At 35.0% G+C, this 15,698-nt stretch overlaps 1 long non-coding RNA gene across 1 annotated transcript in view; it reads left to right on the top strand.

Moving 5' to 3' along the window:
* The first annotated feature begins 8,748 nt into the window (after window positions 1–8,748).
* Window positions 8,749–15,698, top strand: part of LOC107984998 (uncharacterized) — a 67,115-nt gene continuing 60,165 nt past the window's right edge. Inside the window, exon 1 of the long non-coding RNA XR_001738111.2 lies at window positions 8,749–8,886. This is a non-coding gene — a long non-coding RNA (uncharacterized LOC107984998). The remainder of the gene's footprint in view (window positions 8,887–15,698) is intronic.

Below are 15,698 nucleotides of genomic sequence, written 5' to 3'. Positions count from 1 at the left end.
CAGAAACTTTCCTTTAGCACTTCATCATTTTAAGACATTTTAACTGAGCAAGAAGTAGCTCCAGTGCAATCAGCCATTTAAAGGAACACAAGAGAATTATATACTTCCGTAACAGGTTTCTACACATACAAAATCTCCCAGGACAATTTACAACAGCCTAAAATAAATTATCCCTGAAAGAAATTATGAGGCTGGAGAGTAAGCATAGCATAATGGTTAAGGGTGCAGATTCTGTAGCTGAGCTGCTTGGATGGAACTCTTGCCCTCACTAGACTGTGACCTTGGTCGAAGTGTTAAACCTCCATGTGGTGGATAGAATTAATACCTATTTATTAGGTTGTTAGGAGGATTACATGATTAAATACATGTTAAAGGGCTTAAAACAATGGCTGGTACATAGCAAGCACAATTTTATTTCTTGGACTATACTTACATAGGGCTTCATGTTCAATGGATGAGAAAAAAAATGAGATGAAGGTTGAGGGAAAAATTATGACATGTTAAATATAACTAAATGTATTAAACATTTTGATCCATCAAACAATGATTATGTCACAGCAAATTCCAAATGGAAAAAGAGAAATGTTTCAGTATTTGAGTGTCTAACTCCAAAAAAACTAGTATTTTGGCTAAGACAAAATGCATGAATAATTTCAGAATAAATACAAAATTTAAATATTTAATCAGACCTTTAAAAAGTTGAAGGAAATCAAATGGGGTTTAATTAAAGACAAATGGAGTAATTTTAAGTGCCCTGCTAACAGAGCGGAGCAACTGTCTCTATCACACATTTAATTCTATGCCTGCTGTTCTCTGGAAGACCTGCCAGTTGAAACTGAATAAAGCTCAGATCCCATCAAATAGCATATAACAGGTCCAATGTCAACGAGTACATGGCACCTTTTCCTGAGGCAACACACTGACAAGCTCCATGTCATTTAACACAGTTCATGGGAGTAGTGAAAAAACAGGATGCCTATCAAGGAGTCATCAGACTATGTGGTCAAGAAGCAAGCAAGAGTGAAGAGGGAAAGAGGTCAATGATGTTTCCCACCTTCAGCAGAATGTATTTAAAATAGCTTTGCCTATGGTTATTGCTAACGAGAGAGATCTGAGACAGGTTGAAAAAGACATGATTCTCTCCCTGTTCTTGATATAAAAGCACAGAAGCTTCATTTGAAGACGTTGGGGGAAAAACCCAAAGCACACAGTTTTATCAAGTTCGATTGACTTCATTCCTGAATCTGCAAAATTTGGTTTAAAACCTTGTGAGACCCAAGTTTCTTGTGAGATTTCTGGGCTTTCAGATTTCATTCAAGTGGAAAATGAACAGGCTCTCTCTCAGCAGCATACTGCTTTGGCTCTAGGTAAATCAGGGCCATCTGGGGTTGAGGGTCCATGAACCGCCAATCCCAGCATCACATCTCTGCTCCAAACACCACCCTCCTACAGACAATCACTTTCTCCAGTTTTGTATGCTGTAAATTCCAAGGAAAATCTGCCTTTTCAATAATGAAGGTCTTGTTCCCCGTATTTTGCTAGAAATGCCTTTGTATCTCTTGTTCTATGTTGACAATCATTGACCCCGTCCATTCTTTAAGAAGCACCTGTTGTGGAGAGATGGAGGAAGGAGAAGGGCAGTCCATGGAAAAGACATAAGAAGGCTATGATTGTCACAATGAGCAAGATTTCTCCATTAAAAGGTTTAGAATAAATCATATTCAATGTGACAAATAAAACACTATCCTGAATCAAAGTTCATTGTGAAGTACATAAAAGGAACACTTCTCTTTTAATAGTGATTGTAATATTCTTCTTCCTTCTTTTTTTTGTATTTTGTGATGCACATAAGAATCCCACCACTGTGCAATGATTCACCTGGATGCAGAGGAGTAGGCAGAGGCGAAAGGAAACAGGGATGTGAAGGAATGTGGGGCAATGGTGCTTTTGGGCAAATGAGCATTCCATGTCAAGTCCATGAATAATCATATTTCATGTCCAGTGATTTCTGTCTAACAGCCTACTTTTGGTTCCATTTCTAATTAGGGCACACAGTAAAAAATAAGGCCTTGAATAAAATTCCATTTTCTTTTACTAAAAATCACTAATTCAGAGTCAAGGGCAGCATCTCATCATTAATGTTGTTTTTATAGAATTGTTCGTACTAGCTATCTTTTAGCAGTTTAATGAAGTTGGTTTAACTAGATTAGTGTTTCATCCTCCATGGCCAGAGCTTGAAAAATTAGGCTTTCTGAGATTTAGAGTTACGTGTTATTATTACTTCAAAAGTGCTTTTTTAATAATATTAACTCTGGGTAGTGTTTATTCAGGGAGAACAAGTGATGCATCATATTTCATTTTTCTTTTTTTTTTTTTTTGAGATGGAGTTTCTCGCTTGTTTCCCTGACTGGAGTGCAATGGCGCAATCTCTGCTCATTGCAACCGCTGCCTGCCAGGTTCAAGTGATTCTCCTGCCTCAGCCTCCTGAGTAGCTGGGATTACAGGCATGTGCCACCACGCCCGGCTAAATTTGTATTTTTAGTAGAGACGGGGTTTCACCATGTTGGTCAGGCTGGTCTCGAACTCCTGACATCAGGTGATCTGCCTGCCTCAGCCTCCCAAAGTGCTAGAATTACAGGCATGAGCCACCGCGCCTGGCCCATATTTCATTTTTTCCAAGTCTTGAATTTATTTTTTGAAAAAAAATTATTGTGAAAACCTATGCCCAGAAACTGAGGATTAGTTAGGAAAGGGTTCTGTTCACAATTTATTGAACATATAGAGTGGTACATCATTAAAAAATGGTTATCTACACATTTCAACCAATTCTAAGGATGCAAAAAATTATTTTTTAATGTGTGTTTTGACAAGACCGTATCTTCTAGTACGTTAATGTAAAACACTAAAATGTCACTTCTATTATTTATTAATGAGGTTATGGGAGGAGAACAGAGTATTAAGAAGGTCAGAGAAGTCATTAATTGTAGGTTTAAAGAATGGTGGATGGGTTAATTGAGAATCCGTGAAAGGTTTTATTTTGTTTATTTGACTTTAGAATATTAAAAAATATTTTAGTCATTTCATTAAAAAGCCTTGGCATGGTAAGCTATCTTAGAAGTCAAAATATATATTGAATCATTTAAATATTCTTCATTTTGGACAAATAATATGATAGATTTTCTGAAGAAAACCAAATATTTGATGAGGCTCTTAATGAACAATGTAAAACTGTTTAATTAGAGTTACTTGACACATTCTTGTATTTAAAATAGTTCATTATAAACATTTTACTCTTGTATTTTTATAAAGACTGGCTGGAAGGAAGTCATTTTGGACCAGAGCCAACCCATAACACAATGCAGAGGTATTGCTTTTTTTGATAAGTTAAGAATTGCCCATTACAAAGGTCAAAATCTTTTTTTTTTCCTTTGCCAAAAGTCAAATGCTGTTATATTTATATTGTCCCTTTAAAATTATGATTAAACATTTTTATTTGTACCGTCTTTAGCTGTTACTCAACATCTGGGTAAAATGTCAGAGTCACTTTTTATCTTTCTTAAATGCTTTTGTTCCTACTCAGCAGCTGGGCTGAGAGTCACACTAAGGAAACAACGTAGACTCCTGCCTTACTCTGCGGGCTGCTACAAAGGAAGGGGAAGCCAGGTGTGCTAAGGGCAGAAAGTCTTTGTTCTGAAGCCCTCCTTGATGCAATTTGACCTAAACAAGTTCAATCTCACAGCGTGTTCTGAAACCTGATTGAATAGTAGTTACTCTTACAAATTAAGGTAAAGCAAGAATACGTTTAAGACTTTAAAAAAGACTGGTGATTTTAATGGCTTAGGCTTTCATTATGACTCAGCAGCATGCTGGTAGAATTTTGTTTTCAATGTCAGGAAGCAAGACCAGGATACAGGCAGTTTAGGTAGAGCAATCAACAGAGACACAGAGCAAAACTGCAGTTGAGCACAGTGTTTATGTTCTTGTGTCTGGGACAACTTGGTTCTCTTTGCGCGGTGTTTCTTACATGAAAACAATAGCCCTGGCATAAAAAACGATGTCTCTCAAGTGAATCATGAGTGTTCTTTTGTTTGTTTGTTTTGAGGTGGAGTTTCACTCTTATTGCCCAGGCTAGAGTGCAATGGCACCATCTCAGCTCACTGCAACCTCCGCCTCCCAGGTTCAAGCAATTCTCCTGCCTCAGCCTCCCGAGTAGCTGGGATTACAGGCGTGCACCACCAAGCCCAGCTAATTTTTTTTTTTTTTAATTTAGTAGAGATGGGGTTTCTCCATGTTGGTCAGGCTGGTCTCAAACTCCTGACCTCAGGTAATCCACTCTCCTCGGCCTCCTAAAGTGCTGGGATTACAGGCGTGAGCCACTGCCTCCAGCTGTGTCTTCTTTAATTAATACCCAAAGGGTAGTTTAATATATTTAAAAACAAGCTTTTGTAAAAGTGCAAGGTAATATAATAGTAGGTTTTAATTGGCCAGGCTGAATTACAAAATTCTACTTTTACTTTAGCAGTTTTCCTCAGTGCCGTATGCTAATGCTAATGGATAAATCTATGAGATATCCTCTTGTACTTAAGCTGATCCTGGAAGGGACTGAAATGAGCAAATTACTCCCTTCATGTACAATGTTCAACCATGTGAGGTAATTTTCTACTTCCAGTCCTCCTGAGTCCTTTTCACAGTACTGAAAGAAATAATTTCTCCAAATTGTTCCTCAGTGGCCCAGAACAGTGAAATCTTCATAAAGACAGAGCTTCTATAAACTTACAATCAGTTGTGGCAGATCTAAATGTTCAAAGTTAAAACTTGGTGTTGAAGGCGTCAAATAAAAAGTCAGTGAAGAAACATTTACATTACTGAAAAGTCCTTAATGTTTCACTGCTGTTTTCCACATGGAACAAGACTTGGTAATAGTTAAAGTCCTTTGAACAAAAAGAGGATAACTACTATTTACCTTCTAAGTCTCAGAGGAAAGCCTGAGTAAAGTCACTTCTCAACTCTCCTTGAGAGGAACCAGGCAATCATGGCAGGGACTGAAAGTTAAAGTGAGAAAGTGTCCCTTGAAAACACAACTAAACGATTTATCCTATGATGGTTCAATATGCACTTCTTAGAATATAAGGAAATGCTTATTTTCCTTTAAGAAACTATGAAAATAACAAGTAAGAACCTTTTCTTGCCATTTTTCTTTTCTGCCTGAATCTTGATATATTTTATCCTACAGAAGTTACATTTTAGCCAAAATAGGACAAATTATCTCTCTCAAGTTGGTCCTAAAACAGAATCCAGCATCCTGAAGTATTTATAAGTTCACAAACTATTTCCCACATTTCTCCTATTACCAAAGGTAAGAGATATTTAAAATCTCAAAAATTTCATTATCTGCATAAACATACTAATAGTGGTTAGGTTTCAATGAATTCCTTTTGGTTGTGTTTGAAACCGTGCTGTATAAATAACTAGGGTAACTGAAATTTCATTTGTAGCAGTACTGTACTTAAAATCTACAAATATCATAGGAGCTAAAGTTTTAACCAACTCTATTAGTTACTTATTACAAATAAAATCCTTCCAATTTCTTTACACAACAGTCTCTATTGAGTCAGGATACCCAGAATATCAGGCAATTAGAAACACGAAATTACTATATCTGTTCTGTCATAAACCAGGAGATTTAAAAATACTTTTTAATGAACACAAATTGCTCTATACTACCTCCACATTATAGCAGGCTTTCCAGAAACTGACACTGGATCTTTGGGATAAAAATAGTTGAAGACATCGAGTTGGAGAAACCATGTCATTTTTTATGTGAGTGGCAAGTTACAACACTAAGTCGCAACATCTAGAGGTGTGTGTAATCCAAGCTGAACCGGAAAATGTTCTTGAAAGCTGCAACAAATTGATATATATAAGGCTAGGAAAAGCAGGTTGGTGAAGAATCAGCTTATCATGGCCGCCTTTTGTTAAATCAAATTTAGCTTAAAGCTGCCTCCTTATTAGTTTGGCCTGAAGTTTTCTCTGAACATAGTGAGCAGTAACCTAACTCAATATGTAAATGGTCTACTCTTGTAACAAGCAGCCCTGTCTCAGTCAATCACAGAAGCTACACTTCAACTACTCACAGGTGACTGAAGCAAGAAAGTTCCCTGACTCCCCTGTGGGACTTGCAACAGGGGTGTGGCTAGTTTGCTTGGCTGCTGTGCACTCAAATCCCTATGGGAGGGGGAGCATGCCAGGTGCACAAGTGCAGAAGCCCAGGTGAGCGCTTTTGGGCTCCAACCCCATGGTAGCGTCTTGAGGTGTGTTACAATTAATGTTCTTTTAGCATTTGCTGTCCACTGATTAAGTGTTAAACCAGCTCAGTGGAAAGTCAGGGTGACAGTCTTTTACACCCTGACCTCTTGGTACCTAGGTCCTTGTCCAGCACCCAGGGAGAATCAGGTCACGTGGACTTGAAGGATGGTGAATGCAGGGAGGGACGGTGAGTGATGGAGGTGGCTCTCAGTGGGATGGATAGGGGCCTGGAAAGCGAATGGAGTGGGAAAATGATCTTTCCCTGGAGTTCCTCCATCCCGCAACTTATCTCCTCTCTGACTGTCCCCAGGCATGGTGGGCCAGAGCGGTCTTGGAAGAAATAACATTGGACATGAAAACAGGAATGCCTCTTCCCATTTAGGGCCGTGAGTTTCCATGCTTGAGGGTAGGGCCTTTGCCAGGGACCGCTCTCTTCTACCCAGTATTTCCCTGCCTTCTGTCCATATTATAACCAACTGTTCAAATAGCATTCAAATAAGGCAAACACTGGGCTGTAACCAAGCCAGTTGTTTCTGTGCCTCACTTCTCTTTCCTGTACATCACTTTTTTTTCTGTCTTTCTGAACCTATTCTGGTTCAGGGGCTGTCCGATTTGTGAATCATTCTTTGCTCAGTTAAACTCTGTTAAATTTAACTTGTCTAAAGTTTTCCTTTGAATACCTTTCACAGACAGATTTAGGGCAACTTGCCACCATCATTGTAAGACTGGTTTTACTTCCTCCCATTTAACTTGCCCTAGATGAGTGGAACCTATTGGACTCCCTTGTGCTTTCACTCAGTTGAACATTATTTATGAATGATCCTGTTATTGAACCCCAGCAATTATTTGATTTAATCTTCTATATTTATCCAATCCAATATAATTTAGAAGAATAACATATTATTTCCTATATATTAGAAATGAAGGCTTTTTATTTTTATTTATGTTTTTTATTTGATGATCTTCATTGTTTAAGGAAGAGAATCATAAATGCTACCCTACTAACCACAAGAAAAACCTCAATGAAAATCTAGTCAAAACTAAAGAAGTCTGCTGCTTATGATCGTTATTCTTAAAACCAAAAATTTCAGGGAGGATGAAGTGTTACAAATAAGGAGTAGTGTTTGATTTGCTTGTTTGTTTGATTGGTTGTTATCTGATAGTGCTGCATACTGAGACCTGTCAGATATGCAGTTACAAAGTTAACCTCTTTATAGAAAATAGGAAGTTTTTGTTTACTCACTAGCCCCTTCCTGGCATCTATTAACTCTTCTAGAATGGCTTTCTCTCCCCATCTAATTTCTATTCAGGGATTCATTTCACCCTCTCAGTTTACAATATCTCAGAAGGATAGTGGTCAACCACCCTCTCCAAGGATGGACAATGTGATTCAGGCCCAAGTCAATCTTATTGGTTGTGGTGAATGGTTGTGGTGAATGGTTCTAAGAGCAGCATATAATCTAAAACAGTTCAATCAATATGTATTTTATAACTTTTGCTACACATGCCTAAAACCAAGATCTATATTTTTACCAAACTTTCTACAGGATAAATAGGAAAGGATATGAAAACCTATGAGAGTATTTTTATATGATAAATGGAGGGAAAGCTGTGAATGCAGTTGGCATAAGGGAAATGTGCTAGACTGTGTAGAGTATAATCGAGTCCTGGTAACATTGCTTGAAACCTGGGTCAGGCATCACCTGAAGTAAAGCTATTGCTATACCTAAGAGTTATGAGAACCAGTAAATACATTTCCTTTTCTATAAGCTAGTTTTAATTTCTTTTTTACTTTTTTATCACTTTTTAATTGATATCCAATTTTAGTCATCCTTATGCCATATCCTTATTGCAATCATATAGCATAGATATAATTATTTGCATGTACAGAAGCAGGGAAATAATCTTAGTTAAGCAAGTTGCCCAAGGTCAACATTTGGCAAATGTCACAGTTGAGGTTTAAAGCTATGTGTAACTAATAGAGCTTAACCTCTTAAACATTACAAAATGAAATTTCCCCACTACAAAGAGGGGAAAATAATCTGGTTTCAAAATCAGATTATACAGCTAAATGATCACCTGTTTTTACTGGCTTTGCATGGACAAATAATCCTGCAAGGATGTGATAAATATGATGAAATGATAAAGTCATGAAATTTTGGAATAGTTAGGTCTTTTATAAGGATATATCATATGATTCTGTTATGCTTTATATAATTTATTTTTGTCATAATTACAGAACCTTCCTCCCTGTAGTAAAATGAGTCCTAAATTGACACTTTCTTCTCCTGTATGCCTGGCTCGTTCTGGACCGGATATGACTCATTTTGTTGATCTTAGCTTCACCATAAGTCTTCCTACAGAAAAATTGTTTTGATTAGTATTTAAAGTATGATGAGGATTGTTTCCTGTTTTTCTTAAGCTTTCCACCCAGTTGCCATTATCCCACAAATGATTTGTTAGGCATGCAGGTTTGTATTGTTTCTGATACTATAAGGACAACAAATACAGCTCTTTTTTTTCAAACTGCTACACCCAGGAAGCTGGAAGAAGAGTAGATATTACATATTGAGTTTCTGAGTGAGTACAATTTTATTTTTTTAAGAAGCTGTGCTTTTTTAAAAAACACGTGAAATTCTTAACAGTGTCCTTTAGAATTATTTCTCCATTATGCATGCTATGATGTGGAGTCTCTCTGTCCTTCAGATAATAGCATAGTTAAAAGACCAGAAAACTAAGCAGTACAATTGAATCTATAACTTTCTATATATAACCTTGAGCAAACAGCTTAACTTAAATTGAAGATAGTAACAGAACAAGTCAAGTATAAATTTATCAGAAAAGAGACTTGGGGAAAAGAGTGAAACTTCTCCATGTTGAGTATACAAAGAACCAATACATGTAAAAATTTTGTGAAAGATAGATTGTAGGACATACACATACCTAAGCCCGTTGTGCATTAGTACATGGCAAGTAATTCAGTGCAGAAAAGGCAGAAAGTGGGTAATAAACCAGGTTCAGCCAGACATTGGAGATTCTTTTATGGCAGATTAAAGATCTCTGTCTTCAAGGGAAGAAGGATCCATTGAACTATTGTAAACAATAGAGAGAAATGATCAAACTTGCATTTCTAAAATATTACTTAGGTGGCAATGTGAAAACTTGATTGGATGGGCCTAGAATCTTCACTATTTGATGACTTGATAAGACGAGAATAAATGGTTTATAAAAATAATAGAGGTTTCTAAATTGGTCCTCAGGATAAATGATGCTTCCGTTTATTAAGAAAGTAGCATTCAGGAGACGCACCATTATTTGGTTAGTAAAGGGGCCCCTTAAAGCTTTGTTTCAATTCTTTGGTAGTTAATCATTGTGTATTGTACTAAGTAATTCTTTATTTTGAAGTTTCCCTGTCAAATAACAGATGGTTACAGCCTCGTGATTGTACCTTTACTGATATTATATTTTTAAATACATAATTCTTGAAAATATTAATAAAGAAACGATATAAAATTAGGAATAAGGTGCAAAAATAACAATGGCTGTTTTTAAAAGTTCAAAATAAGTTACTTGTCTGAGAAGAAATCAAAATGGAAGTTTTAAAAATAGAACTAAATGACATTATAATTATTCATATGAAAACTGCCAGGATGCTAGAAAACATATGCTTTATTTGTGATGGTATCATTATCTACATAGAAAAATATACAAATAGATTTCATAGAAAACATAAGAAAAGCTGCAAATGAATTATTATATTTAATGAGAAGATTTAGCAACTGGATTAAAATTAATACCCAAGTGTATTAATAGAGTATATAATTTTTCTAAACCTACAGATTGCAGTAGCAAAACAAAATGAGATACCTAGATGTGTAAATATTTATATGACTCAGAAAATTATGAGACATTATTTAAAGCCAGCAAAGAACATTTACATAAATAGGAGATATTAAAAGTTTCAGTATCACAATGATGTCAATCGTCCCAAAATAATTAATAGATTTAAAGCAATTCAAATTAAAATGCCTACATGTTTATATAGTAGCTGACAGTCTAACTTTAAAATTTGGCTGGGAACACAAAGCATCATGAATAGCGAGGCATTCTTAAGGAAAACAAACAAGGTTTAGTAGATGTGTCCAAACAGCTATCAGGACTTATTATAGGTCTATATTAAAATGGTGGTGTGAGTAAGGACAGAAAAATTAACCAACGGAAAGAATAGGCATATGGAAATTTAGTTTATGATAGAGCTGATATTGTATACAAAGTGGAGAAAACATAAACTATTAAATAAATTGTAGTAAGACAATAGGTAATTACTGCTGAAAAAAATGACACTTGAGTCCTACTTCACATAATACAATATTCATTTTACTTTGATTAAATAATTAAATATAAAAAAGAATATAATAAATAACAGTATATATTCAATAGAAATATTAACTAATAATTAATTAAACATATTTAATGTATATTAATATAATTAAATATAAAAGATTATATTTTAGTAGATAAAATAGAATAATAATTTACATCAGGGTTTATTAAATATCTTTTAAAAAGCAATTCACTAAGGAAAAGCTGATAGTTTTAACCATGTTAGCATTTACACCTTCTGCTTATCTGAGGATATAATGAAACAGGATACAAAATCTAGAAGGTCTTTACAACATGTGTAATTAATACTGTTGATAACTTTTGTCTATACTTAACTTAGATTTTAATGTTGGCTTTTTCATGCTTATCACAAGTTATGGTTGACAGTTTTGTGTGACTTTGCTTTTTGTTTTTAAATGGAATCAACACTTAAAATACCAAGATGCTCTGGACAGGATGGTTATTAAAAGGAGCCACGGGAAAAAGATTAAAATCCACTTCAGGAAAAACAAAAACAAAACAAAACAAAAAACAAGAAGACCTTGAGAATATCACCATGAGAGTTGTTCAGGGACAAGATTATCAGACAGGATCTAGGCAAAACAAACAAACAAACAAACAAAACCTTGTTGTAGCCAGAAAGGGTAATTGAAGAGTGTTTAATGAAGAGACCAAGGTAAAAACAGGCATAGGGAACCAATAAGTAGAAAGATGTCCCCACCCCTAGTCTTAAAGGGGAAAGAGGAGGGAATGATTAACTGAACCAAAGATACATGCAGGACTTATGGGTTTTGTAAAAAACTCAAGAGCTATTTCAAAACTTCCAGGCAGGAGAGAATATCCTTTCTCTCTAACTTGTACTCACCTACTTATGCCTCCTGTTAGTGGAACCCAACCTACAGAAGGAAAGATAATCCAGGTGACTTATTACATAGATGTCAGACCCTGTTTTCTTTTTCTCCAATAAGGGAATGGAGGAGTATCCAGCAAAGGAGGTAAAATTCAGAAATGGCTGCCATAGTCCAGCACTCAACCATAACAATAGTAATCATAGTAAAAACCGTCATGCTATGTTACTGAGGTATAACACATTATAGCTGAGAAAACACCTGTACATATATAACGTAGTTTACTTCTCAAAAATCCACTGAAAGAATCATTAAGGTCTCAATTTTATAAAATGAAAACTAACGCTCAGAAATTTGGAATTTAGCCACAGCCACGTAACTAAAAAATAGGGAGATTTCAATTCAAAAGACCACACAGGCTTCCTGAAATATATAACCAGGTATGTATATTAGGGCTGGTAATTTTTATGTAATGATTTCCCTTACTCACTTCCCCTTTTCTTCACCCCAAAACAAATGCAGTGTTGGATAACTTTAGAGAGATTGGAATTTGTTGATTTTGCAGTGGTCTATGAGAGGAGGTTTTTATATTTAAGGTGCTTTGAGTGTCAATATTCAAATTTTGTGGGTTTGAATTACTACTTTGCCATTTACTGTGTGTAAAACCTTGGAAAGTAGTTCATCTCACTCTTTCAGATTTCTGTAAAACAAGATGCAATATAGTATACCTTTTTTGAAAGTATGTTGTGGTGATAAATTTAAATAATTCAGGTAAAGCATTTAGAAAAATATCTTGCATATTATAAGCCATCATTGTTATTTTTGCATTATTGTCATTATCTGTATTATTAATACTTCAAGATTATGCCTATCATTATACTCTAATCTCACAACACTAAAATGCTACTTCTTGGGCACCAATTTCTCTCCTTCTACTACCAGTTTTATTTCATAGCCAAACTAATTGAGAGTTTTCTGTATACTGTCTCTACTTCCATCTCTTCATTCTCAGCCATTTCAATTGTATTCATATCTTCTCAAAGTTTGCCAGGATCTCTGTTTTATTAAATCTCATGACACTTTTTCTGCCCTTATCATGGAATTCTGCAGCAAAAGTAGATGCAGTTTAATTCTTCTTTTTGTTTTGTTTTGTTTTGACAGTATTACTCTACTCTTTTTTCATTCCTCAGCTCTGTAACAAATGTAACCTTCTGACTCCACTGATCCAAGTTGCCCTGGTCATTCCACAAAATTACAATATTATTTCTCCTTACCACTGATGACATCAGAAATTACCTTAATTTTCCTTTTTTTAAAAAATTCAGTTCCACTTGATTGTAAGCCCTATGAAAATAAAATCTTGTTTATATCAGTCATTGCTGTATTTTCAATGCCACGAACAGTGTCTTTCATATCATAGGCCCATATTGTTAAATAAATTGATAAATAATATAACACACATATAAACAGGTGTCTCATACCAAGTAGGTGCTTAATAAATGATAGCTTTTATCCTTCTAGCAATCTGAAGGCAAGGTAGCAATCATTTGTTTAGTTAAATGATTCCCTGAGTGGTACAGTAGATTCCCAAATATACTCCCAACATAACCATGGACCAACAGTCTTTCTACCCTGAACTGCCATTCTTTCATGGGTTCTCTTTTTCCCTCAGTCAGAAGGAAAATGCCATCCTGTTTGGGTCACTAGTTCTTTCACATCCATTTCCAACCATTCTGTAGTACGGGTGGTCCTCACGTTATGAGAGTTTGACTTAGGATCTTTTCAAGTTAACAATGGACTTATAGGGACATAACCCCATGGTAAGGCGAGGAGCATCTGCAGTTAGATTTGTCTAACTAGAGAACGCTTAGGGGTGATGCTGCTTAGCGTCTTCACACTCTGACCTATAAGACTTCAGCTCTGACCTCAAAAATAACGTGATAACAGTACCCTAACAGTATCTTAAAAATCAGTCATTACAGTAACATAGCTAACCATTTTTATAAAAAGAAGTAAAGCTATTTAAGAGACTGAATTGATCATTTGTTTGAATTAACTGATCAACTAGCAGCTAGCCATCAGATGGCCTGAAATGTACTTTTATACAGAATGCTATAATTTTCAAATCATCTTTACATACAGTGTTTCATTTAATTTATAGCATTATGATAAAGTTAGAACTACCAAAAGCAATTATCACTTGAAATGACCTAAGTTGTCATCTACTCCAATTTCTTTATTCCTATAATAATGACGGTGATAATGATACCACATTACTAACTTGAATTATCTCATCCCTTTGTAGGAAAATTAATATATTTTTAAAATTAACTTTAAAATTGACTGACTAGCCAGTGTTCTTCTGTCTCAGTAATATTGCAATCCATGTCAATCATTCTAGATACATGACATTCTAGCCTACTTGGGGGTGGATGTTAAAATTATATTCTCAAATATTGTTTAAATTAAATATGGGAAGAAAAATGTAAATGAGAAAATTTAAAATACAAAAATGCAGTAACATATTGGCAGTTGTCATTCATGTATTATCTTTTATTTGAAGACATGGCAAATGCACAGAGCTAGTACCATATTCTGCAAACTCTGATACAAAATTTGATATGTGCTAAAATGTCAAATCTACCAATGTCAGTTATTAGTACCTTCTTTGGAAGTGTATCCAGTTCCTTTTTTATATCAGCTTTCTTTCCTGATACTGTTTTGAAAGCTTCATAAGATATTCATAACCTAGAGAAATCTAATAATTTTTCCCAGTAATTTCTTTTACTGCTTTATGGAATTTGTTCAGAGGAATACTAATATTAGATACTAATAAGAAATGTTGTCATATTAAAAAATACCTACTGCTTATCCATAAAAGGGGAAACTTTAGCTTCATCTGGTAACCAGAACCAGGATAACCATGGAGCCATCTGGTAAAACTAAAACGCTATGGCAAATTAGCATTACCAATCACCGCTACATTCTTACTGTGAATCTCTATATGCCAAACAGACCTCTCCCAGGAAGATCATAAAGGAAAAACAAGGTCATAGTGTCAGACTCCGTGTCCTTGATTATTTTTTTCTGTGATTTGTGGGGAGATGGGTGGTTGGCGTATATTTTATATTTTAAACAATTTCCAGGAAATTATTATTTCATTGAATCATAAATGTTAGGATGGCAAGAGGTCCCAGGAAAGCATCTGCTTCACTTATTTTTTTTCACCCAGGTAATAAATTATAATCCCTATTTTATGGATAAAGTAGTTGAGCCTTTGAGAGCTGAGTGCTTTGAAAAAAAAATCATGTGGTTTAATTCAACTAGAAATAGGTGCTTCTCCTGTTAGAGCATTTAACACACTGTCTTGACTGCCTGTTTAGTTCTTATTTATTCATTGGTTTCTCTTAAAACATCCTAAGCACCAAAAAAGTGCACATGAATAAGCCACATGTATGTTTATCACTTTTTAGTCATTGGCTCCTAGTACTCTGCTTAGCACATAGAAGTTCAATTAATATTATTGAATAAAAAGTAATAAATGGTAGAATGATCATTCAAGAATTTACTGTTAAATATTCATCTGTGGACATGAAAAGCCATTTATTTAAGTTAGAAATTTTGAATGATGCATCCTATTTTTATTTAGGAGAGTCACAAAATCAGATTATTTTTAGTGCAAGAGAGGACCATACTGTTTATTCAAAAAGAAGAAAAAACCTATCCTTGTTATGCTAGTTCTTTAAATTATCATATCAAGTATAAAAACGAAAACAAAAAATAGGTATTGAGACATATTTCATATTGTTCACTGGAGCCTGAATGAGGCATTATTTCTTATAGTTGTTGATACCTCTTACACATAGAATCTAACAAACATTTTATAACCTCTTTACGAAATGTTGTATTTCCCTTTCTTTCACCAGAGGAGTTTCATTCTGAGCCTGAGTACTCAATATAATTCACATTGAAAATTAACTCCATAGCTTTCCTACCATCATCATTATTAAAGGCCTCCAGGTGCTCAGTCCTCAACATTTTTCAGGCAGTAAATTGCTCAGGTCCTTTTGAGGAATTTAGAAACAGAGAACCAATAAATCCATCTATAACCTCAAAGACCTGTCTGCCATTTTCAGACAGACAGGTCTTTGTTGTGTTTTG

Source organism: Homo sapiens, chromosome 1 (genome assembly GCF_000001405.40).
Source record: "Homo sapiens chromosome 1, GRCh38.p14 Primary Assembly".
Lineage (NCBI taxonomy): Eukaryota > Metazoa > Chordata > Mammalia > Primates > Hominidae > Homo > Homo sapiens.
This window is presented reverse-complemented; position numbering and strand designations above follow the sequence as displayed.